The following is a 21,543-nucleotide window of genomic DNA, read 5'->3' on the forward strand; positions in this document are numbered from 1 at the left end:
AAACCAAGTGTAAAAAGCCATTTTTGGCCAGGCGTGGTGGCTGATGCCTGTAATCCCAGCACTTTGGGAGGCCAAGGCGGGCGGATCACCTGAGGTCGGGAGTTTGAGACCAGCCTGACCAACATGGAGAAACCCCGTCTAAAATACAAAATCAGCTGGGCATGGTGGAGCATGCCTGTAATCTCAGCTACTAGGGAGGCTGAGGCAGGAGAATTGCTTGAACCCGGGAGGCGGAGGTTGTGGTGAGCCGAGATCGCGCCATTGCACTCCCGCCTGGGTAACAAGAGCAAAACTCCGTCTCAAAAAAAAAAAAAGCCATTTTAAAAAATAATCAGAGAAATATGGACAAAGACTAGATACTACATAATATTAAGGAATTAATAGTAGTGTGAGGTTTTAAGTCCTGATTAGTAAGCATTACTCTTTTTACAAGTGAAATGATATGATGTAAGATAATCTATTTAAAAATATTCCAGGCCGGGTGCGGTGGCTCACGTCTGCAATCCCAGCACTTTGGGAAGCTGAGGTGGGCGGATCACCTGAGGTCAGGAGTTCGAGACCAGCCTAACTAATATAATAAAACCCCATCTCTACTAAAAATACAAAAATTAGCTGGGTGTGGTGGCGAGCGTCTATAATCCCAGCTACTCAGGAGGCTGAGACAGGAGAATTGCCAGAATCCAGGAGGCAGAGGTTGCCGTGAGCCGAGATCACACCATCGCACTCCAGCCTCGGCAACAGGAGCGAAACTCCATCTCAAAAAATAATAATAAAAAAAATAAAATTAACATCTCCAGCCAGGCCAGGCGCAGTGGTTCATGCTTGTAATCTCAGCATTTTGGGAGGCCAAGGTGGGCAGAACACTTGAGGCCAGGAGTTCGAGACCCGCCTGGGCAACATGGAAAAACCCCATCTCTACTAAAAACACAAAAATTAGCTGGGTGTGGTGGTGGGCACCTGTAATCCCAGTTACTTGGGAGCTGAGGCACGAGAATCACTTGAACCTGGGAGGCGGGGGCTGCAGTGAGCCAAGATTGTGCCACTGCACTCCAGCCTGGGTGACTTTATCTCAAAAAAAAAAAACAACAAAACTCCAGCCAGGTATACACATACAATGGAATATTATTTGGCCTTAAAAAAAGAATAAATTCTGCAGCCAGGCGCAGTGGCTCATGCCTGTAATCCCAGCACTTTGGGAGGCCGAGGCGGGCGGATCACGAGGTCAGGAGATCGAGACCACCCTGGCTAACACGGTGAAACCCCATCTCTACTAAAAATACAAAAAATTAGCCGGGCGTGGTGGAGGGCGCCTGTAGTCCCAGCTACTCGGGAGGCTGAGGCAGGGGAATGGCGTGAACCCAGGGGGCGGAGCTTACAGTGAGCAGAGATCGTGCCACTGCACTCCAGCCTGTGCGACAGAGTGAGATTCCGTCTCAAAAAAAAAAAAAGAATAAATTCTGGTACGTGCTATGACATGAGGGAGCCTTGGACAAGGTATGCTGAGGAAAATAAGCCAGACACAGACAAACGCTATGATTCTATTTGTATGAAGTCCCAAGAATAGGCAATTCATAGAGACAAAGTAGAATGGAGGCTACCAGGGAATGGGGACTTAGTATTTAATGGGTACAGAGTTTCTGTTTGGGATGATGAAAAGTTCTGGAAATGAATAGTGGTGATGGTTGTGCAACACTGTGAATGTAGTTAAAGCCACTGAAGTGTACACTTAAAAATGGTTAAAAAGGTAGGCCAGGCACAGTGGCTCATGCCTGTAAAGGCGGCACTTCGGGAGGCCAAGGTAGGTGGATCACCTGAAGTTGGGAGTTTGAGACCAGCCTGACCAACATGGAGAAACCCCGTCTCTACTAAAAACACAAAATTAGCGGGGTGTGGTGGTGCAGCCTGTAATCCCAGCTACTTGGGAGGCTGAGGCAGGAGAATCACTTGAACTCGGGAGGCGGAGGTTGTGGGTGAGCCAAGATGGCTCTATTGCACTCCAGCCTGGGCAACAAGAGCAAAACTTCGTCTCAAAAACAAACAAACAAACAAAAAACGGTTAAAAAGGTAAACTTTATGTTATGTATATAACAATTTTTAAAAATACTCCAGGTGGGCCGGGCGCAGTAGCTCACGCCTATAATCCCAGATCGTCTGAGGTCAGGAGTTTGAGACCAGCCTGGCCAACGTGGTGAAACCCATCTCTACTAAAAATACAAAAACTAGCCAGGTGTGGCCGGGCGCGGTGGCTCACGCCTGTAATCCCAGCACTTTGGGAGGCCGAGGCGAGTGGATCACGAGGTCAGGAGATTGAGACCAACCTGGCTAACACAGTGAAACCCGTCTCTACTAAAAATACAAAAAATTAGCTGTGCGAGGTGGCGGGGGCCTGTAGTCCCAGCTACTCGGAAGGCTGAGGCAGGAGAATGGCGTGAACCCTGGGGGCGTAGCCTGCAGTGAGCCGAGATCGCGCCACTGCACTCCAGCCTGGGCGACAGCGAGACTCCGTCTCAAAACAAAAAACAAAAAACAAAAAACTAGCCAGGTGTGGTGTCGGGCATCTGTGATCCCAGCTACTTTCGAGGCTGAGGCAGGAGAATCGCTTGAACTTGGGACGTGGAGGTTGCAGTAAGCCGAGATGGCACCACTGCACTCCAGCCTGGGTGACACAAGACTGTCTCAAAATAAATAAAACAGATAAGATAAAACAAAATCTTACTGAGCGACAAGTAAAACAGGTAAGGGAAGTATTTATGAATATGTATCATTTATAGTAATTCAAAATCTTTCGGGAATTTGCCAGGAAAGAATCTAAAACAAACAAACAAAAAAAACCCTCACTGACTTTTAAAATGTGCCCTGCTCCCCTCTGCTCTCCCTCAAGGTCAGGTAGGGTAAATCTGAACCACTAGATACACACAGAAGCTTCGTTTAAAGTCAGTGTTTTCGTTGGCCTCAGAAAGAAAGACAAACAATCAGGGGTTAGAAATAGAAACTAGGTAGTAGACTGCAAAAGGATTGATTTGTTTTTTTAACATTCTTCCACTCTCCAAAACTCCAACTATTAAAAAAAAAAACAAGCAGAGCTGAAAAAAAAATGACTAAAGTTTTCCCTTTCTTCTACATTTCCCCCCAGAAGTTTAAGATATATCCCTGCAATCATTTGTCAACCCTAAAAAAGTAACGAAGTAACTCTATGAAAACTGTTTAAAATGTGAAAATGGCTTTAAATATTAAAAGACGAGCTATTCATTTTATGTCTTAGATTTCTAACAAGTGTATGTAGAAAGGGCATATAAGGCTCCTCCTTTATATCAGAGCTCTGGGATTCTCCAAAAGAGCCAACTAGAAAAGAGGCCATTTCACCGGGCGCGGTGGCTGAAGCCTGTAATCCCAGCACTTTGGGAGGCCGAGGCGGGCGGATCACGAGGTCAGAAGATCGAAACCATCCTGGCTAACACGGTGAAACCCAGTCTCTACTAAAAATACAAAAAATGAGCCGGGTGTGGTGGCGGGTGCCTGTAGTCCCAGCTACTTGGGAGGCTGGGGCAGGACAATGGCGTGAACCCGGGAGGCGGAGCTTGCAGTGAGCCGAGATCTCGCCACTGCACTCCAGCCTGGGTGACAGAGCGAGACTCCGTCTCAAAAAAAAAAAAAAAAAAAAAAAGAAAAGAAAAAGAAAAAGAAAAGAGGCCACTTAGTAAACAACTATTCAGAGGGCCACTATGAGCCCCTACTCTGCTAGAACCAGATACTACTTCTACATTATCCCGATCATACAATATTCTCAACCATGCCCATTTCACAGATGAGGTTCAGGGAAATCAAGTCTCTTGCCCACTGACACAGAGCTAGTAAGTGGCAAGGCTGGGAGGGCATCTCAGAGCTGTCAGACCCCAAAGGCGACTTAAGACCAGGGGCTTGGTTGGGTTAAAGACACAAATGACTGATCTTATCCCAAGCTGATTTACAAAGCAGGGTCAGGCCTGTCATTTCTACCACCAGCTCCGGCCCATCTGCCTCCCTGGAATTGCCTTCTTCGCACTGCCAGTCCCCACACCTTTGCTCTGCGACCGCACCTGCCGCGTCGGATCCCCCAACTCACAACCACGCCCGCGGGTCTCACTGCAGTGAGACTTGAGAGTGGCGGCGGTCAGATTCCCAGGTCAACTCCAGCCGTGGGAAAGGAAGCCAAGCCCTGAGCCCCTTTCCCCAAGACACGCACTCCGGGGCTCCAGAAAGCTCGGCCCGCCCCGGGGTGTGGGACTGCGGAGACGAAAGGCAGGCAGGCCGCGGACCCAGTCACGGGGCGGGGGGCTGAGGTCACCGAGAGTCCGCCCCAAGCCTCCCAGCTGCAAAACCGGGGAGCGGGGGGCGGTATCCGTCACCTCCAAGCTTTGTCCGGCTGGGAAGGCCCGCGCCTCCCGCCCCAGGTGCAGGAGGTGGGGCGGGTGGAGGGGAGCGGGTCCCTCCGGGCGCGAAGGAGAGCTAGGCGCCGCCGCCCCCGGCCCGGCCCTCCCACCGCCCCCTTACTCTGTGATGCGCTTGGCCAGCTCCGTGCAGGCGGCCGTGGAGTTGGCCGAGAAGACTCGGTAGCCGGTGCGAGCGGCGTTCATGGCCGGCGGGGGAACGGGGCGGGCGCGCGGGACGCGGAAAGCCGAGGACGCGGAGGGCGGGGGCAACAGCAGCAGCTTCTTGGGCATCGTCCGGCCCGCGGCGCGGTTACGACCGGCCCCGCGCGGGGCTGCACTCTGAGTGCTTCCGACTGCGAGACCCCGGTTTGGGTGGGGAAGGCGCTGAGAAACTCGGCGCAAGCGGGGAGAGCTCCGAGGTCCGTGCCCTTGCGCACCCCACACCACTGACTACAGCGGCCGAGCCTTCGCAGCGCCCGGCGCCGCCGCCTCAGAGCCAGAGGCAAGGCCACCGCCCCCTCCGGGCATCCGAAGAGCGTCGGCTAGAGCGCCCTCAGGCCGCCATCTCGGATGAGGGCAGGGAGCCTGGCGACTCTCTAAAAGCCTGTTCTTCCGAGGGGCATGTCACAGGTTCGCCCCGCCCCTGCTTTGACCGCTTCCACGGGAGCTCTTTCGGTCTCACTTTCTTGGGAGGAGCAGCCTACCTCGGTAGTGGCCCCAGGTGTTTCCAACTTTTTGGCCAGGACCCAACATGTCCGCCTCCGAGGAGGTATACGATCTAGCTCTGCATGTCTATGGTAGCACAGCGCCCGCCCCACGAGGCGCGTGCGCCGGCCGGAGATTAATTTGAAAAGTAGAGGGCGGGGGTTCTTTCCAGCTGGTTGACCGCAGTACTGAAGCGGCCAAAAAGTGGTCTTCTCCTGAGCCTGATCTTTCAGGCGTTTCCGAACAGATCCCCAACCCTGTGTCTGCGTGTAAGGCAAGGTTCCCTGAACGTGCCAAAGGCCCTCTTGCCGGTATTCGCTTTCAATCAAAAAAGCCCTCCTTCTCCTCTTTCCATATGCGCCACCCCTCCGAGACCCACTCGCGATGCGTCTGTTCCACAGTCTTTCTGGTGACCTCAACCACAGTAAGCCGCCCGGCCCGCGGGACTGTGCCACACGTAGATGCTTGCATTTTTTAAATTTTTGTTGTTGTTGTTATTGTTTTGATGCTTGCATATTTATGTACCTTTGCAAACATCTATTTTCCTAACTAGGATGTAACCCATTTTACGGCCACATCGTGAGTTCCTTTTTTTTTTTTTTAATTTTATTATTATTTATTTATTTTTTGAAATAGGGTCTCCCTCTGCCGCCCAGGCTGGAGTGCAGTGGCGCGATCACGGCTCACTGCAGCCTCTACCTCCCGGGCTCAAGCCATCCTCCTACCTCAGTCATTCAAAATGCCGACATTACAGGCCTCAGCCATCACGCCCCGCCAAGATCGTGTATTCCTGAGTGCTCCGTGTTACCCAGTGTATAGGGCAGTGTGTGGGCTCCAGAGGCCCGCAATCAGTACTTGTTGAAGTAGAAAGTAAAGCCCAGGGAAGCATTTGAGATCTCTAGTTATCAGCTGCACCAGAACTCGAGGGGAGGAGAGGTGCCTCTCACATTGACAGTACCATCTTCTGAGAATGTCCTTTAGAGACTCTGCTTGTGGTGACATTGGGCTTGAGGGAGCAGTAGATTGTGACTCAGCATGTCGTGAAGGACCACAAGTCTGAAGCTACAGGATTTGGAAGTTGAGCTGCCCTGAGCCTGCAGCAGCCTGGCCCCTATTCCAATAGCTCTCTAGAAAAAAAAAAAAAAAAAAAAAGGACAGTGGGTGCACAGCCTAGGCCAAATTATTTAACCACTGCACACATGTCCAGCTCACAGACCCTGACAAAAACCTTGTTACCTTCTTAAAAAAAAGGGGGAATGGGATAGGTGCAGTAGCTCATGCCTGTAATCCCAGCACTTTGGGAGGCCGAGGCGGATGATAGTTTGAGGTCAGGAGTTCAAGACCAGCCTGGGCAACATGGCGAAACCCAATCTGTACTAAAAATACAAAAATTAGCCAGGTGTTGGCTGAGCGTGGTGGCTCACTCCTTTAATCCCAGCACTTTGGGAGGCTGAGGTGGGTGGATCACCTGAGGTCAGGAGTTTGAGACAAGCCTGGCCAAGGTGGCAAAACACTGTCTCTACTAAAAATGCAAAAATTAGGCTGGGCACGGTGGCTCATGCCTGTAATCCCAGCACTTTGGGAGGCTATGGTGGGTGGATCACGAGGTCAGGAATTCGATACCAGCCTGGCCAACATGGTGAAACCCTGTCTCTACTAATAATACAAAAAATTAGCCAGATGTGGCCGGGCGCGGTGGCTCACGCCTGTAATCCCAGCACTTTGAGAGGCTGAGGCGGGCGGATCACAAGGTCAGGAGATCGAGACCATCCTGGCTAACACGGTGAAACCCCATCTCTACTAAAAATACAAAAAATTAGCCGGGCGCAGTGGCGGGCGCCTGTAGTCCCAGCTACTCGGGAGGCTGAGGCAGGAGAATGGCGTGAACCCGGGAGGCGGAGCTTGCAGTGAGCTGACATTGTGCCACTGAACTCCAGCCTGGACGACCGGGCGAGGGCGCGACTCTGTCTCAAAAAAAAAAAAAAAAAATCAGCCAGATGTGGTGGCGCGGTGGCACACACCTGTAATCCCACCTACTCAAGAGGCTGAGGCAGGAGAACCGCTTGAGCTCGGGAGGCGGAGGTTGCAGTGAGCTGAGATCAGGCCACTGCACTCCATCCTGGGCAACACAGCAAGACTCCATCTCTCTCTCATACACACACACACACACACACACACACACACACACACAATTAGCCAGGTGTGGTGGCAGGCAACTGTAATCCCAGTTACTTGGGAGGCTAAGGCAGGAGAATCGCTTGAACCTGGGAGGCGGAGGTTGTAGTGAGCCGAGATTGTGCCAGCCTGGGCAACAGAGTGAGACCTCCTCTCAAAAAAAAAAAAAAAAAAAAAAAACAGGTTGGGCACGGTGGCTCACGCCTGCAATCCCAGCACTTTGGGTGGCCGAGGTGGGCAGATCACGAGGTCAGGAGATTGAGACCATCCTGGTCAACATGCTTAAACCCCATCTCTACTAAAAATACAAAAATTAGCCGGGGGTGGTGGCGCGCCTGTGGTCCCAGCTACTCGGGAGGCTGGGGCAGGAGAATCACTTGAACCCAGGAGGTGGAGATTTCAGTGAGCCAAGATCAAGCCACTGCACTCCAGCCTGGCAACAGAGCGAGACTCCATCTCAAAAAAAAAAAATTAGCCAGATGTGGTGGCACATGCCTGTAGTCCCTTCTACTCCGGAGGCTGAGGCAGAAGAATCACTTGAATCCAGGAGGCAGAGGTTGCAGTGAGCCGAGATCGTGCCACTGCACTCTAGCCTGGGCAACAGAGTGAGTCTCTGTCTCAATAACAACAATAAAAAGTTAATCAGCCTATAGCCCCAGCTACTTGGGAGGATGAGGCAGGAGGATCCCTTGAGCCCGGAAGTCCAAGGCTGCAGTGAGCTACGATTGAGCCACTCCACTCCAGCATGGGCAACAGAGAAAGACTCTGACTCAAAAAAATTAAAAATAAATGCTTGCTGAAAAGGGGAGCACGAAACACTTCTGAGGCAGGAGAATAGGGTCTGGAGGCAGGGTACGTAAGGCCAATTCACGCTGACTTCTTAGAACGAAATAAAATGGAAATACTTCAGCTATGACAAGAAATATCCTCTCCATTTACATAGGGCATACAGGAAATAATCCTATTTACATAGGGCATACACTGAGTGAATGACTTTGTAACTTGACTTCATTCCCTTCATTTACATAGGGCGTGCACCAGGTAACCAATGGAAACCTCTAGAGGGTACTGAAACCCCAGAAAATTCTGTAACGGGGCTCTTGAGCCCCTATGCTCGGCATACTCCCACCCTGTGGGGTGTACTTTCATTTTCAATAAATCTCTGCTTTTGTTGCCTCATTCTTTCCTTGCTTTGTTTGTGCGTTTTGTCTAATTCTTTGTTCAAGATGCCAAGAACGTGGACACCCTCCACCGGTAACACTTCCGGGATCCCACTCCTCAGCACAAGCATGGGCTTTGCAACAATGTGGGGATGCCCAGGGTGGCCAATGGTCATTGTTATGGACTGAAAGTTTGTGTCCTCCCAAAATTAATATGTTGAAGTTCTAACCCCCAGTGTGATGGGACTAGGAGGTGGAATGTTTGGAGGTGAGCTGGAGTTAGATGAGGGTGGGGACCCCATGATGGGATTAGTGCCCCTAAAGGAGGAAGAGACATCAGGGCTTCTCCTCTCTCTGCCATGTAAGAACATAGGGAGAAGGTGGCCGTCTGCAGCCTAGAAGAGAGCCCTCACCAGAACCCGACCATGTGGCTCCCTGAGCTGGGACTTCCAGCCTCTAGGACTGTGAGAAGTAAGTGTCTGTTTTTTAAGCCACCCAGTCTATTTTGTAGCAGCCCAGACAGACTAAAGCAGGCATGCTGAGCCTGCCTAGGGTGTCACGCATCCCGTCTGACACGTAGGCCTGCCATGGTCTGGCTTGCTTTCTCCCATGTCCTCCTCAGAAGAGGTTGATGCTCAAAGCCCTCTGCAATGCTTGTGACCCACGTTTCCCCTGCAGTCCCCCCTCCCACAGAAGCATTGCAGGGGTCTGTGTACCTGAGGAGGGAAGTGAAGGGACAGAAACAGCTCATTGCTCAATGCCCAAAGATAGCACGTTGGGCCTCAGGAGCACCTACTCAATTTAGCCACTAAAAAATTAGAAACAACCGAAATGCCCCCAAATAACAGAATAGCTATACAAATGATGATGCCTCCGAATGATGGAATATTTGGCAACCATCAGAAAGTTTGCTTTTTAGGAGCTGGGTGTGGTGGCCCACACCTGTGGTCCCAGCTACTCAGAAGGCTAAGGCAGGAGGATCCCTTGAGCCCAGGAGTTCAAGGCTCACAAATGTGAACAGCCACTGCACTCCAGCCTGGACAGCATCATAAAACTCTATCACTTTAAAAAAAAAAAAAAAAAAAAAAAAGGCTGGAGCTGGGCACGGTGGCTCACGCCTCTAATCCCAGCACCTTGAGAGGCCAGGGTGGGCAGATCACACGGTCAGGAGTTCGAGACCAGCCTGGCCAACATAGTGAAACCCTGTCTCTACTAAAAATACAAAAAAGTAGCTGGGCGTGGTGGTGGGCGCCTGTAATCCCAGCTACTCGGGAGGCTGAGGCAGGAGAATGGCTTGAACCCAGAGGTGGAGGTTGCAGCGAGCCAAGATCACGCCATTGCACTCCAGCCTGCGCGACAGAGCGAGACTCCATCTCAAAATCAATCAAGCAATCAATCAATTAATCAAACAAGGCTGGGCATGGTGGCTCATGCCTGTAATCTCAGCATTTTGGGCGGCCGAGGCTAGTGGATTACCTGAGGTCAGGAGTTTGAGACCAGCCTGGCCAACATGGCAAAACCCATCTCTACTAAAAATAACAAAAATTAGCCAGGTGTGGTAGCAGGCACCTGTAATCTCAGTTACTCAGGAGGCTGAGGTAGGAGAATCGCTTTAACCTGGGAGGTGGAGGTTGCAGTGAGCCGAGATTGCGCCACTGCACTCTAGCTTGGGCCACAGAGCGAGACCCTGTCTCTAAATAAATAAATAATAAATTAAAATTAAAAAAAAAACGTTTGCTTTGTCTGGCACAATGGCTCACGCCTACAATCCCAGCACTTCGGGAGGCCAAGGCAGGTGGATCACCTGAGATCAGGAGTTCAAGGCCAGCCTGGCCAACATGGCGAAACCACATCTCTACTAAAAATACAAAAATTAACCAGATGTGGTGAGGAGCACCTCGGATCCCAGCTACTCGGGAGGCTGAGGCATGAGAATCACTTAAACCCGGGAGGTGGAGGTTGCAGTGAGCCAAGACCACACCATTGCACTCCAGCCTGGGTGACAGAGCAAGACTGTCTCAAACGAAAAAAAAAAGGTTTGCTTTTAAAAGAATCATTGATGATGGGGAAATGCTCATAAACAAAGTGGCAAAATAACCTGACTTAGACATTATCTGAGTCATATTTTCCTGCATGTCTTAAGAGAAAGAAGGCGCACAGGGACGTGTTTGAGGACCTGAGACTCCCTTAAGAGGCTTTTATTATTTTTATTTATTTATTTTTTAAGAGACAGGGTCTCACTATGTTACCCAGGCTGGACTCAAACTCCTGGGTTCAAATGACGCTCCCGAGCAGCTGGAATTGAGGCTTTTATTATTGAAAGCCTAAATTCCCAAAGGCAAGAACTGAAGTGTCCCTGAGTGCCCCAGCCTTGGAGAGGGGGAGTCCTCACAAATTGAAGGGACAGTTGGACGAGGAGGTGGGGACTCCAACAAGTACCCTGGGGACTCTCATAAAGATGAGGAAAGAATGAAGACCGGAGGCTCTCCTTGAAGCTCAGGAACTGCGGAAGGCCCTGGGGCTCTTTTATGTACCAGTCCTGGCAGAGGACTTGGAGTCAGATTTAATCTTGTTAAACAGAATTTGTGGCCCAGCATGGTGGCTCACGCCTGTAATTCCAGCACTTTGGGAGGCCGAGGTGGGAGGATCACCTGAGGTCAGGAGTTCGAGACCAGCCTGACCAACATGGTGAAAGCCTGTCTCTACTAAAAATACAAAAATTAGCTGGGTGTTGTGGCATCCGCCTATATTCGCAGCTGCTAGTGAGGCTAGGGCAGGAGAATCGCTTGAATCCGGGAGGCTGAGGTTGCAGTGAGCCGAGATCGCCCCATTGCACTCCAGCCTGGGCAACAGAGTGAGACTCTGTCTCAAAACAAAAAAGAGAGAGAGACTCTCTGAAATAAAGCAACGTTTATTTGGGATCGGGCATGACAATGGGAATATGTGTGCCATAGTAAACTATGTGTGTATCCAACTAGGTAAAGGAGGACGAACGTTTTTAGAGGAAGATTGAGGGGGATTACACAATTGTTTTGGGATAATTTTCCTTGGCTACAAGGATCAACAACAAGTGTGACCCAGTGCCAGGTTGTACAGGCAGTTGCTGGGCAGATGCCCTCGCAGAAGTATTTTTTGTGTAAGGTTTCAGTGGCCTTTGTGCAAGGTTGTGATTTTTGCTGAGTCTTCCGTGATAGTTTTTGTTATCTGGCATTTATGCATAAGAACCTTCTCTTTATAGCCTTTCCCAGCTCTATTTGTCAGAGCTTTTTGTTTTGTTTTAACACAAGTGACTCAATTTTGCTTCTGACAACTTCCACAGAGTCTTCATTTTTACTGATGGGTCAGGGATTTTTTTCTTTCTTTCTTTCTTTTTTTTTTGAGACTGAGTCTTGCTCTGTCACCCAGGCTGGAGTGCAGTGGCACAATCTCGGCTCACTGCAAGTTCCGCCTCCCGGGTTCACGCCATTCTCCTGCCTCAGCCTCCTGAGTAGCTGGGACGACAGGCGCCCGCCACCACGCCTGGCTAATTTTTTGTATTTTTAGTAGAGACGGGGTTTCACCGTGTTAGCCAGGATGGTCTCGATCTCCTGACCTTGTGATCCGCCCTCCTCGGCCTCCCAAAGTGCTGGGATTACAGGCATGAGCCACCGCGCCCGGCTGATTTTTTCTTTTTTTGAAATGAAGTTTTGCTCTTGTCACCCAGGCTGGAGTGCAACGGCACAATCTCGGCTCACCACAACCTCCGCCTCCTGGGTTCAAGCAATTATCCTGCCTCAGCCTCCCAAGTAGCTGGGATTACAGGCATGCGCCACCACGCCTGGGTAATTTTTGTATTTTTAGTAGAGATGGGGTTTCAACCATATTGGCCAGGGTGGTCTTGAACTCCTGACCTTGTGATCCGCCCGCCTCGGCCTCCCAAAGTGCTGGGATTACAGGCGTGAGCCACCGCGCCCGGCCTTAACATGTCTTTTTTGACGTTTGAAGTGAGACTTCACTTGACCAGTTTTGTTTTTTTTACCGTTTCTCTTTATAAGACCAGACTGACTCTTGAGGTTCCAGACCAGCTGGATACCTCCTGCCAGAACGAAGACAGCTGTGCCTCCACAAAATGACATTTTGCATCTACAACCCTATTTCAGTTTTCAAGTTTTAAAAAATGAGCTGCTTGTTAACCGGGCCAGTTTCGGCATGAATTATAGAAAGATCTCCTCTGTACTAGAAACTAGAAGACAAAGGGTGGCATAAGTAGAGATTTGGCATGAAATATTGTCCAGGAACAAACAGGACAAGACAAAGAGGGGTGTGTTTAGGATTGCTCAGCCCTGTCCCCAAGGGAGGAACTAATTGGAAGACAAGGTCAGTCTTTGCAAGGATAAAGAACATTTCAGGCAATAATTCAGAAGTTTTGCATCCACGTTGCGCCACTCCAACTTGAACTTTGGAAAAATATGAGGCCTTTCCCTGTTTTCATTCTCCAAACAAGCCTCAGCAAGCTGGGACTGAGTGATCTTTATTTCTAAAAATAATACCAACTTGGATCTCTAAGCTGATTCTCTCTATAGGGTACCAGAAACCATGCTGGGGGCAGGAGCAAAATACAGGCAGACAGAGCCAAGCCTGCTAGGAGTGACCCTTCCCAGCTTCAGCAAGGACAGTGGTAGGCAGCAGCTGCTGGGCTGGTCTCTGGAAAATCTGAAATGGAATCACAAGGCACTGAGTCCTCGACCTCACCTATGCCTCGGTTTCAGTAGCTCTTGGTGGGAGTCTTTGGAGGCATTTGAGGGGGTCTGAAATGCCCGAACATCATTGAAGACTTTGGTTCAAGTGGAAACCCTCAAGGGGCTTCTAGTGCCTTCTCTCTGTGCACCGCAGAAGCTCCTGCCAAATGACATGCTTCCTTGCCCCTATGGCCGGATTCATAGCTGCACTGGCAAGATGGGGTGGAAGAGACAGAAACGGAGCAAGGAAAAAGGCCAGGGCTGTAGGGGCTGAGAAGGCAGGAGGCAAACACTAAGGAGACATTATAACAACTCAGGAGGCAAATGATTCAGGAAGTCACAAGGTTCTTGGCTCAACTGTGCCAAATTTGTCAGTTCAAGAGGGTCCAGGTCTATGAGAGCTAAAAACCCCCAAACAATGCAAATGTCCAAAGGCAGCTATGGGCCGGCCATGGAGGCTCACATTTATAATCCCAGCCTCCCTTGGGAGGCCAAGGCGGGAGGATCACCTGAGGTCAGGAGTTTGAGACCAGCCTGGCCAACATGGTGAAACCCATCTCTACTAAAAATACAAAAAACTAGCTGGGCATGGTGGCAGATGCCTGCAATTCCAGCTACTCAGGAGGCTGAGGCAGGAGAATTGCTTGAAGCTGGGAGGCAGAGGTTGCAGCGAGCTGAGATGGCGCCACTGTACTCCAGCCTGGGCAACAAGAGCAAAACCCTGTCTCAAAAAATAAAATAGTAAAAAAAATAAGGCTGGGCGTGGTGGCTCACGCCTGTAATCCCAGCACTTTGGGAGGCCAAGGCGGGCGGATGGCTTGAGCCTAGAATTCAAGACCAGCCTGGGCAACATGGTGAAACCCTATCTCTACAAAAAACACAAAAGTTAGCTGGGCATGGTGGTTCATGTCTGTATTCCCAGCTAATTGGGAAGCTGAGGTGGGAGGATCCCTTGAGCCCAGGAGGTTGAGGATGCAGTGAGCTGTGAGACCCTGTCTCTTAAAAAAAAAAAAAAAAAAAAGGCAATCAAAGTGAGACAGGAGAATAGGATCTGGAAGCAGGGACTCTAAGGACTTCCTAGAACTGAATCAAATGGAAACACTTCAACTATGACAGGAAATATCCTCTCCATTTACATAGGGCGTACACCGAGTGAATGACTTTGTAACTTTACTTCATCCCTTCATTTACATAGGGCGTACACCAAGTAACCAATGGAAACTTCTAGAGGGTATTTAAACCCCCAAAAATTAGCCCCTATGCTCAGGCTGCTCTCACCCTGTGGAGTGTACTTTTGTTTTGTTTTTTCTTTTTTTTTTGAGACAGAGTCTTGCCCTGTCACCCAAGTTGGAATGCAGTGACACGATCTCAGGTTCAAGAAATTCTCATGTCTCAGCCTCCTGAGTAGCTGGGATTATAGGCATCGCCACCACGCCCAGATAATTTTTGTTTTGTTTTGTTTCTGAGACAGAGTCTTCCTCTGTTGCCCAGGGTGGAGTGCAGCTGCACGATCTCAGCTCACTGCAAACCCCGCCTCTTGGGTTCAAGCGATTCTTCTGCCTCAGCCTCCTGAGTAGCTGGAATTACAGGCACGCACCACCACGCCCAGCTAATTTTTGTATTTTTAGTAAAGATGGGGGTTTCACCATATTGGCCAGGCTGGTTTTGAACTCCTGATCTCGTGATCCGCCTGCCTTGGCCTCCCAAAGTGCTGGGATTACAGGCATGAGCTACCGCGCCTGGCCTAATTTTTGTATTTTTAGTAGAGTCGGGGTTTCACCATGTTGGCCAGGCTGGTCTCGAACTCCTGGCCCCAAGTAATCCGCCTGCCTTGGCCTCCCAAAATGCTGCAGGGATTACAGGCGTGAGCCACCGCGCCCGGCCTGTACTTTTGTTTTCAATAAGTCTCTGCTTTTGTTGCTTCATTCTTTCCTTTGTTTGTTTGTGAATTTTGTACAATTATTTAAGACACCAAAAACCTGGACACCCTCCACCAGTAACAAAAGGATTTTCCCCAAAGTATATTTCTTTTTTTAAATTTTGAGATGGAGTTTCGCTCTTGTCTAGACTGGAGTGCAATGGTGCCATCTTGGCTCACTGCAACCTTGGCCTCCTGCCTCAGCCTCCCGAGTAGTGGGATTACAGGTGCCTGCCACCATGCCCAGCTAATTTTTGTATTTTTAGTAGATGGGGTTTCACCATGGTGGCCAGGCTGGTCTTGAACTCTTGACCTCAGGTGATCCACCAGCCACCTTGGCCTCCCAAAGTGTTGGGATTACAGGCATGAGCCACCGCGCCTGGTCTCCCAAAATACATTTTTTTGACATATTTTGAAATGGCCCTCCAAAGCTTTCTTTTATGGGGGAAATCTGCATTCTGTAGAGAATCCCCTTCCCTTCTCAGGTCTCTCTGGAGAGACTGGCACCTGTGACATTCACATCTCTTCTCTCAGAAGCCTGCTACCTGAAGGCGTCATCTACAAGACAAGAACTTTGGCTTCCACAACCACCCACCACTTACCATAACTCAAGCTGATTTCAGCTCTTCAGGCAGAGCTTACCATTTTCAACAAATTGCCAATCAGCAAATGTTGAAATCTACCTATGACCTGGAAACCACCCCCACTTCAAGATGTCCCACCTTTCTGGGCTGAGCCAATGTATACCTTACCTCTGTCCATTTATGTCTTTTCCTGTAACTTCTGTCTTCCTAAAATGTATAAATCAAGCCTTAGGCCGGGCACAGTGGCTCATGCCTGTAATCCCAGCACTTTGGCTGGCCGAGGCGGGCGGATCACTCGAGGTCAGAAGTTTGAGACCAGCCTGGGCAACATGGCGAAACTCCATCTCTACTAAAAATACAAAAAATTAGCTGGGTGTGGTGGCGCGAGCCTGTAATTCCAGCTACTTGGGAGGCTGAGGCAGGAGAATTGCTTGAACCCAGGATGTGGAGGTTGCAGAGATCGCACCACTTTACTCCAGCCGGGGAAACAGAGAGAGACTCTGTCTCAAAAAAAAAAAAAAAAAAAGGCTGGGTACAGTGGCTCATGCCTGACCCTGCCTGGAGGTTGCTGTGAGAGCTAAATGAGATGGAGAGTGGATGACAAGGAGGAGTGAGGTGCCCTGTGTGATCCTCCACGTTTTCCTGGAATTAGGAGAGCCCACCGCTGAGAATAAAATGCACCCCCAATTCTTGGTTCAGGGAACCACCCACTGAGGGGGCTGGCTGGGAGATGCCTCTCGACACTGACGCTGTCAACCCTGTGTGGAATTGAGAATTCCACTGGCTTTTGTTCCTGGTTCCTGGGAGGTAACCTGTAAATCCTCAGAATTTCCTGAGTGATAGTAGTGTCTGTGTTACTCACGATCGGGCCTCGGAGGACACCCGATCATTTATGCAAATGACTCTAGGTCCAGGAAGACCAACCGTGAGATTAGAAGGCTGTGGCTCTGGAGCCTGGGTGATGGAAGGTGATTGAGGCTACAGTGAGCTATGATCCTTCCACTGCACTCCAGCCTGGGCGACAGAGGGAGCCCTTGTCTCAAAACAAACAAACAAACAAAAAAATTTAAAAATTAGCTGGGTGTGTTGGTGCATGCTTACGGTCCCATAAGAGGGACCATAAGGGAGGATCATTTGAGCCCAGGAGTTTGAGGCTGCAGTGAGCCGTGATCACACCACTGCACTCCAGCCTGAACAACACAGCAAGAACCTGTCTCAAAAAAAAAAAAAAAAAAAAAAGCAGAAAGAAAAAGAAAACAAAATTAGAAGGTTGGGTCTTTGAGCCACTTGTTATCAGCCTGACTTCCGGGGACGGAGGGGCTGGAGCTTGAGTTTAGTGTGTGGTGTATGATTCCTCCATCATGCCTGCATATAAAACCCCAAGGACAACTCTACACAGAGGCTCGGGTGAGCTTCCCTGGTTAGTGATGCTCTGTCTATTGTCACAGATGGAGGTACCAGGAGGGTTAAGGTGTCCCTGAGGATAACAGCGCTTTGCACCGGGGACCCACCCAGCCCGGACGCAGTGCTTCTGGCTGTGGCTGGTTCTGATTCGTGTTCTTTTGCTGTAATAAAACTGTAAATGAAACTTCAGCATTTACCTGAGTGCTGTGAGTCATTCTAGTGAATTAGGAATCTGAGGGGGTGGTGGGAACCCCTGAATTTGAGGCCATCTGGTCAAAAGTGAGGACCCTGAACTTGCAGCTGGTGTCTGAAGTGAGGGCTGTCCTGTGGAGGAAGGCATCACCTGAGGCCCAACCCCAGGTAGTTGGTGTCAAATGTCATTGCACCTGCCCTGAAAGAAAGAGGGAGAGAAGTGAGGGAAGGGGCCACCTTTTGGGGAGAGCTGGTGTCTGTGAGAAAAGGCCTCAATCTTTTTTTTTTTTGAGATGGAGTTTCGCTCTTTCGCCCAGGCTGGAAAGAAGTGGCGTGATCTCAGCTCACTGCAACCTCCAACCCCCAGGTTCAAGTGATTCTCCTGCTCATCCTCCCGGGTAGCTGGGATTATAGGCGCCTGCCACCACACCTGGCTAATATTTGTATTTTTAGTAGAGACGGGGTTTCACCATGTTGGTCAGGCTGGTCTCGAACTTCTGACCTCAGGTGATCCACCCACCTTGACCTCCCAAAGTGCTGGGATTACAGACGTGAGCCACCCCGCCCAGCCCCTCATTTTTCTCTTTCTCTCTCTCACCTGACCTCAGGTGATCTGCCTGCCTCGGCTTCCCAAAGTACTAGGATTACAAGTGTGAGCCATGCCTGAGCAAGCCTCACTCTTTTTTTTTTTTCTTTTGAGACAGAGTCTCGGTCTGTCACCCAGGCTGGGGTGCAATGGCGCGATCTCGACTCACTGCAACCTCCGCCTCCCGGGTTCAAGTGATTCTCCTGCCTTAGCCTCCTGAACAGCTGGGATTACAGGTGCCTGCCACGACACCCAACTAATTTTTGTATTTTTCGTAGAGACGGGGTTTCACCATGTTGGTCAGGCTGGTCTCCAACTCCTGATCTCAAGTGATCTGTCTGCCTCGGCCTCCCAAAGTGCTGGGATTACAGGCGTTAGCCACCGTGCCCGGCCAAGCCTCACTCTTTTGAGAGGACTTGACTGGTTTCTCTTGAAACCAGATGGAGGTTGTAGGGGTTGGGGACACAGTGGAATCACTGTCTGTCAAGTGTGTGGGAGGGCAGGGAAGCACACCTGTGTTCCTGCTGGCTGTCTTGGCTGTGCATTGGCTGCTCTGCCCTGGGGCTCCTGAGGTTTGGAAAGCACTGAGGGCTGGGACCACCCATCCCTTCAGGAGACGTTTTTGTTTGTTTGTTTGTTTTTTGAGACCAGTCTCGCTCTGTAGCTCAGGCTGGAGTGCAGTGGCACAATCTCGGCTCACTGCAACCTCCACTGGAGGGGTTCAGTCAGGATGGTGGGAGAAATTGTAAAATAAACACAAACTTTCTTGGAAGGCCTGAAGGTTTTTGCAAAAGCCTCAAAATAGAGTTATGGCTGAAGGCAGCCTAATCCTCTTTGAGTTATAGCAAGGGTAATTAACACAGGAATGTAGAGGAGTCTATCTAAATAGCTTGTTTACCCACGTGGTCCTAAGACTAACCTTTGACCATCCATGGGTGCAAGATTGCTGTCTACCTGGGGGGTGAGCAATGGTAATTACCTTCTAGTGGTGTTTACTTGAGACGTTTGTCATTTAATGTGTGCTGAACAAATGCCAGCAGGGCCAGCCAGTCGAGGCCATGGCTGCTATTCTTTACAGCACCTTCCTTGGTGTCTGTGAGGGGCCCAGACCCTTAGCTGGACTGACAAGCAGAATATCTGTGTCAGTGTAAGTTATTCATCCGTCGTTGGGTCAGGATCTGCGGGACGGACTCCCCCCACCCCCGCACTGTACCTCCCAGGTTCAAATGATTCTCCTGCCTCAGCCTCCTAAGTAGCTGGGATTACAGGTGTGGGCCACGACACGTGGCTAATTTTTGTATTTTTAGTAGAGACAGGTTTTCACCATGTTGGTCAGGCTGGTCTTGAACTCCTGACCTCAAATGATCTGCCCATCTCGGCCTCCCAAAGTGCTGGGATTACAGGCGTGAGCCACCGCACCTGGTCCCCTTCAGAAGATGGATGCTGAACCTAAGGGCCCAGAGTCAAGTCTAGAGTATGGTCGAGTCCAGAGTATGGGAATCCCAGTCCTGCGGATTACGGGACTGGGAGTGGGGGTACCCTCTCAGAGCAATATGGCATGAGGCCACCTCCTGGAGTCAGCAGAACGTGTCACCCAGGGGAGCCGCTTAGGAGACCGCCTCTCATCAGCAGGCCTGAGCAGCTGTCCCTTGGCCACACCAAATCAGTAGAGCCCTGGTTCTCAGTCAGTGGCAAGTGTGTCCCGCAGGGGCATTTGGCAAGGTCCGGAGACATTTTTGGTTGTCACAACTTGGGGGCTGCTACTGGCATCTGGTGAGCAGAAGCCAGGGACGCTGAGGAACAGTGCACTGACAGGCCCCTGCCGCAGAGAATGAGCCAGCCCCAAACATCAACAGTGCTGAGCTTGAGAAAGCCTGGTCTCTGCAACAAAGCCCCCAGCAAGGGGAAAGCAGCGCCACCACCCATCAGGCCCTGCGGGAATCACATCTGCTTTCAATTTCTCTCCTTCCTGCCGCAGCCTCACAGAATCAGCACAGGGATGGGGCGGTGGGGGAAGAGACGTGCCGTGTCTTCACCCCAGTGTTGGCGCCTGTGCTGGGAAGGGATGAGGGTCTTTTGAGGCAGGATTGACTTTTTTTTTCATTTTTTTTTTTTTTTTTGAGACAGTCTCACTCTGTCGCTCAGGCTAGAGTGCAGTGGTGCGATCTTGGCTCACTGCAACCTCCATCTCTCTGGTTCAAGCGATTCTCATGCTTCAGCCTCCTGAGTAGCTGGGATTACAGGTATGCACCTCCACACCCTGTGCTAATTTTTGTATTTTGAGTAGTGATGGGGTTTCACCATGTTGGCCAGGCTGGTCTCGAACTCCTGACCTCAAGTGATCTGCCCACCTTGGCTTCCCAAAGTGCTGGAATTACAGGCGTGAGCCACTGCGCCCGGCACTAGGCTGTCTTAATAGCAAAACATGGCTAGAAAAATGTGGAATCATACTGAGTGCCCTCGTGGGGAATCTTATGCTCAGTGGAAATGGAGATTTCGAACAAACAGAGCTGGTGGTGTTTATCAGAGAAAATTAAACCTTTTGTTAATGTTCACTTTAACAGGACATGTGTCCTTCATGAAACTGGCTACATATGTGCATCGCTTAGCCCGGGGCCGGCACAAAACAAGAGCTGGATAAACGTTAGCCGCTTGTATTGAGAGGGAAGTGAGCCGGTGGTGGTGCTGCATGCCTGTAGTCCCAACTGCTTGGGAAGTGAGGCAGGAAGATTGCTTTAGCCCCAGGAGTTAGAGGTTACGGTGAACTAAGACTGCGCCACTGCACTCTAGCCTGGGCGACACAGCATGAACTGCTCTTCAAAAGGCGGTGGGGATTCTAACTCCTGTCCCTGGAATCTGGGTTGGTCTCAGTGACTTGCTTGACCAAAAAGTGGTAGAAGGGACATTCTGGGATGTCTGAGGCTCAGGCATGAAAAGCCTTGCAGCTTCGGCCTGGGTCTCCTGGACTGACTACTCCTGGGACATTCCCTCCTGGAGCCCTGCCGCCATGTCACACAAGGGGCCACACTCTGGCCAGCAGCCCCAGCTGAGCTGACAGCTGACAGCCAGCGCCTGTTATCATCGCCATGGTAAGGAGCTGTCTCAGATGTTTAGCCCCGCTGACGCTGCAACCACCGGAGACTCCAAGTGAGGACCACCCAGCTGAGACCCATCAGCCGGCAGCCCACAGTGGGGGTTAGTAAATTACTGCTTCAGGCCACTGCACTTTAGGATGGTTCACTACTCAGAAGCAGATAATGTGAACACTTCCCCAGGGAGTCAAGTGCTTTCAGAAACATATGCTGTTTTCTTGGATGAAAAATTGTCTTTCTAGTGATTATCCAGGAAGGGTTCACACAAATGGGATATCAGGGCTGGTGGAAAGACACGAGTCGGACACCGTTATGAGCCCAAGTTCCAGACTGTGCATAGAGCCAACTCCTAAGCCAGGTAGCCTTGACCTGAGAGCTTCCCAGCACCTCCTTCCCCTTCCCCACTGACCCATGGCTTCCTCCTTCATTCTCCTCTTCTCATCATTCCTTTCCCATTCCTTCACACATTTCAAGCTGCTATTCCAAAACTACCACCATGGAAACACGGTCAGGTTCTTAGAAACCTAACCCATATTGGGAAATAACAGTGCGGCGAGAGGTGGAGGCAGCAGGAAAATTCTAGGCTAACATCCTAGCTGG

General features: G+C 50.5%; 1 protein-coding gene across 3 annotated transcripts in view, besides 7 other annotated features; it reads right to left on the reverse strand.

The window, feature by feature from the left end:
* The window catches only part of PRPSAP1 (phosphoribosyl pyrophosphate synthetase associated protein 1), a 44,721-nt gene extending 39,526 nt beyond the window's left edge, over window positions 1–5,195 (reverse strand). For 2 of the 3 annotated variants that reach the window (NM_001330503.2, NM_002766.3), the window contains exon 1: window positions 4,531–4,913. Coding sequence is in view for 1 of the 3 variants with exons in the window: in NM_002766.3 (NP_002757.2) it covers window positions 4,531–4,700 (170 nt within the window). In the remaining 2 variants the exon portion in view is untranslated. Of the gene's footprint in view, window positions 1–4,530; window positions 4,914–5,113 lie in introns of those variants that run through there. The other variant, NM_001366236.2, reaches the window with a different exon arrangement.
* Window positions 1,883–2,430: an enhancer, noted in NCBI's record as "H3K4me1 hESC enhancer chr17:74346967-74347514 (GRCh37/hg19 assembly coordinates)". NCBI's record gives its function as "activates a minimal SCP1, AML or CMV promoter by ChIP-STARR-seq in primed H9 embryonic stem cells {active_cell/tissue: H9 hESC(primed)}" and the evidence as "EXISTENCE:reporter gene assay evidence [ECO:0000049][PMID:30033119]".
* Window positions 3,970–4,029: an enhancer, noted in NCBI's record as "active region_12804". NCBI's record gives its function as "activates an Ori minimal core promoter by ATAC-STARR-seq in GM12878 lymphoblastoid cells {active_cell/tissue: GM12878}" and the evidence as "EXISTENCE:reporter gene assay evidence [ECO:0000049][PMID:35858748]".
* Window positions 4,390–4,709: a silencer, noted in NCBI's record as "silent region_9012". NCBI's record gives its function as "represses an Ori minimal core promoter by ATAC-STARR-seq in GM12878 lymphoblastoid cells {active_cell/tissue: GM12878}" and the evidence as "EXISTENCE:reporter gene assay evidence [ECO:0000049][PMID:35858748]".
* Window positions 4,879–5,743: an enhancer, noted in NCBI's record as "NANOG-H3K27ac-H3K4me1 hESC enhancer chr17:74349963-74350827 (GRCh37/hg19 assembly coordinates)". NCBI's record gives its function as "activates a minimal SCP1, AML or CMV promoter by ChIP-STARR-seq in naive H9 embryonic stem cells {active_cell/tissue: H9 hESC(naive)}" and the evidence as "EXISTENCE:reporter gene assay evidence [ECO:0000049][PMID:30033119]".
* Window positions 4,990–5,259: an enhancer, noted in NCBI's record as "active region_12805". NCBI's record gives its function as "activates an Ori minimal core promoter by ATAC-STARR-seq in GM12878 lymphoblastoid cells {active_cell/tissue: GM12878}" and the evidence as "EXISTENCE:reporter gene assay evidence [ECO:0000049][PMID:35858748]".
* Window positions 19,150–19,650: an enhancer, noted in NCBI's record as "H3K4me1 hESC enhancer chr17:74364234-74364734 (GRCh37/hg19 assembly coordinates)". NCBI's record gives its function as "activates a minimal SCP1, AML or CMV promoter by ChIP-STARR-seq in primed H9 embryonic stem cells {active_cell/tissue: H9 hESC(primed)}" and the evidence as "EXISTENCE:reporter gene assay evidence [ECO:0000049][PMID:30033119]".
* Window positions 19,651–20,151: an enhancer, noted in NCBI's record as "H3K4me1 hESC enhancer chr17:74364735-74365235 (GRCh37/hg19 assembly coordinates)". NCBI's record gives its function as "activates a minimal SCP1, AML or CMV promoter by ChIP-STARR-seq in primed H9 embryonic stem cells {active_cell/tissue: H9 hESC(primed)}" and the evidence as "EXISTENCE:reporter gene assay evidence [ECO:0000049][PMID:30033119]".

Source organism: Homo sapiens, chromosome 17, assembly GCF_000001405.40.
Source record: "Homo sapiens chromosome 17, GRCh38.p14 Primary Assembly".
NCBI lineage: Eukaryota > Metazoa > Chordata > Mammalia > Primates > Hominidae > Homo > Homo sapiens.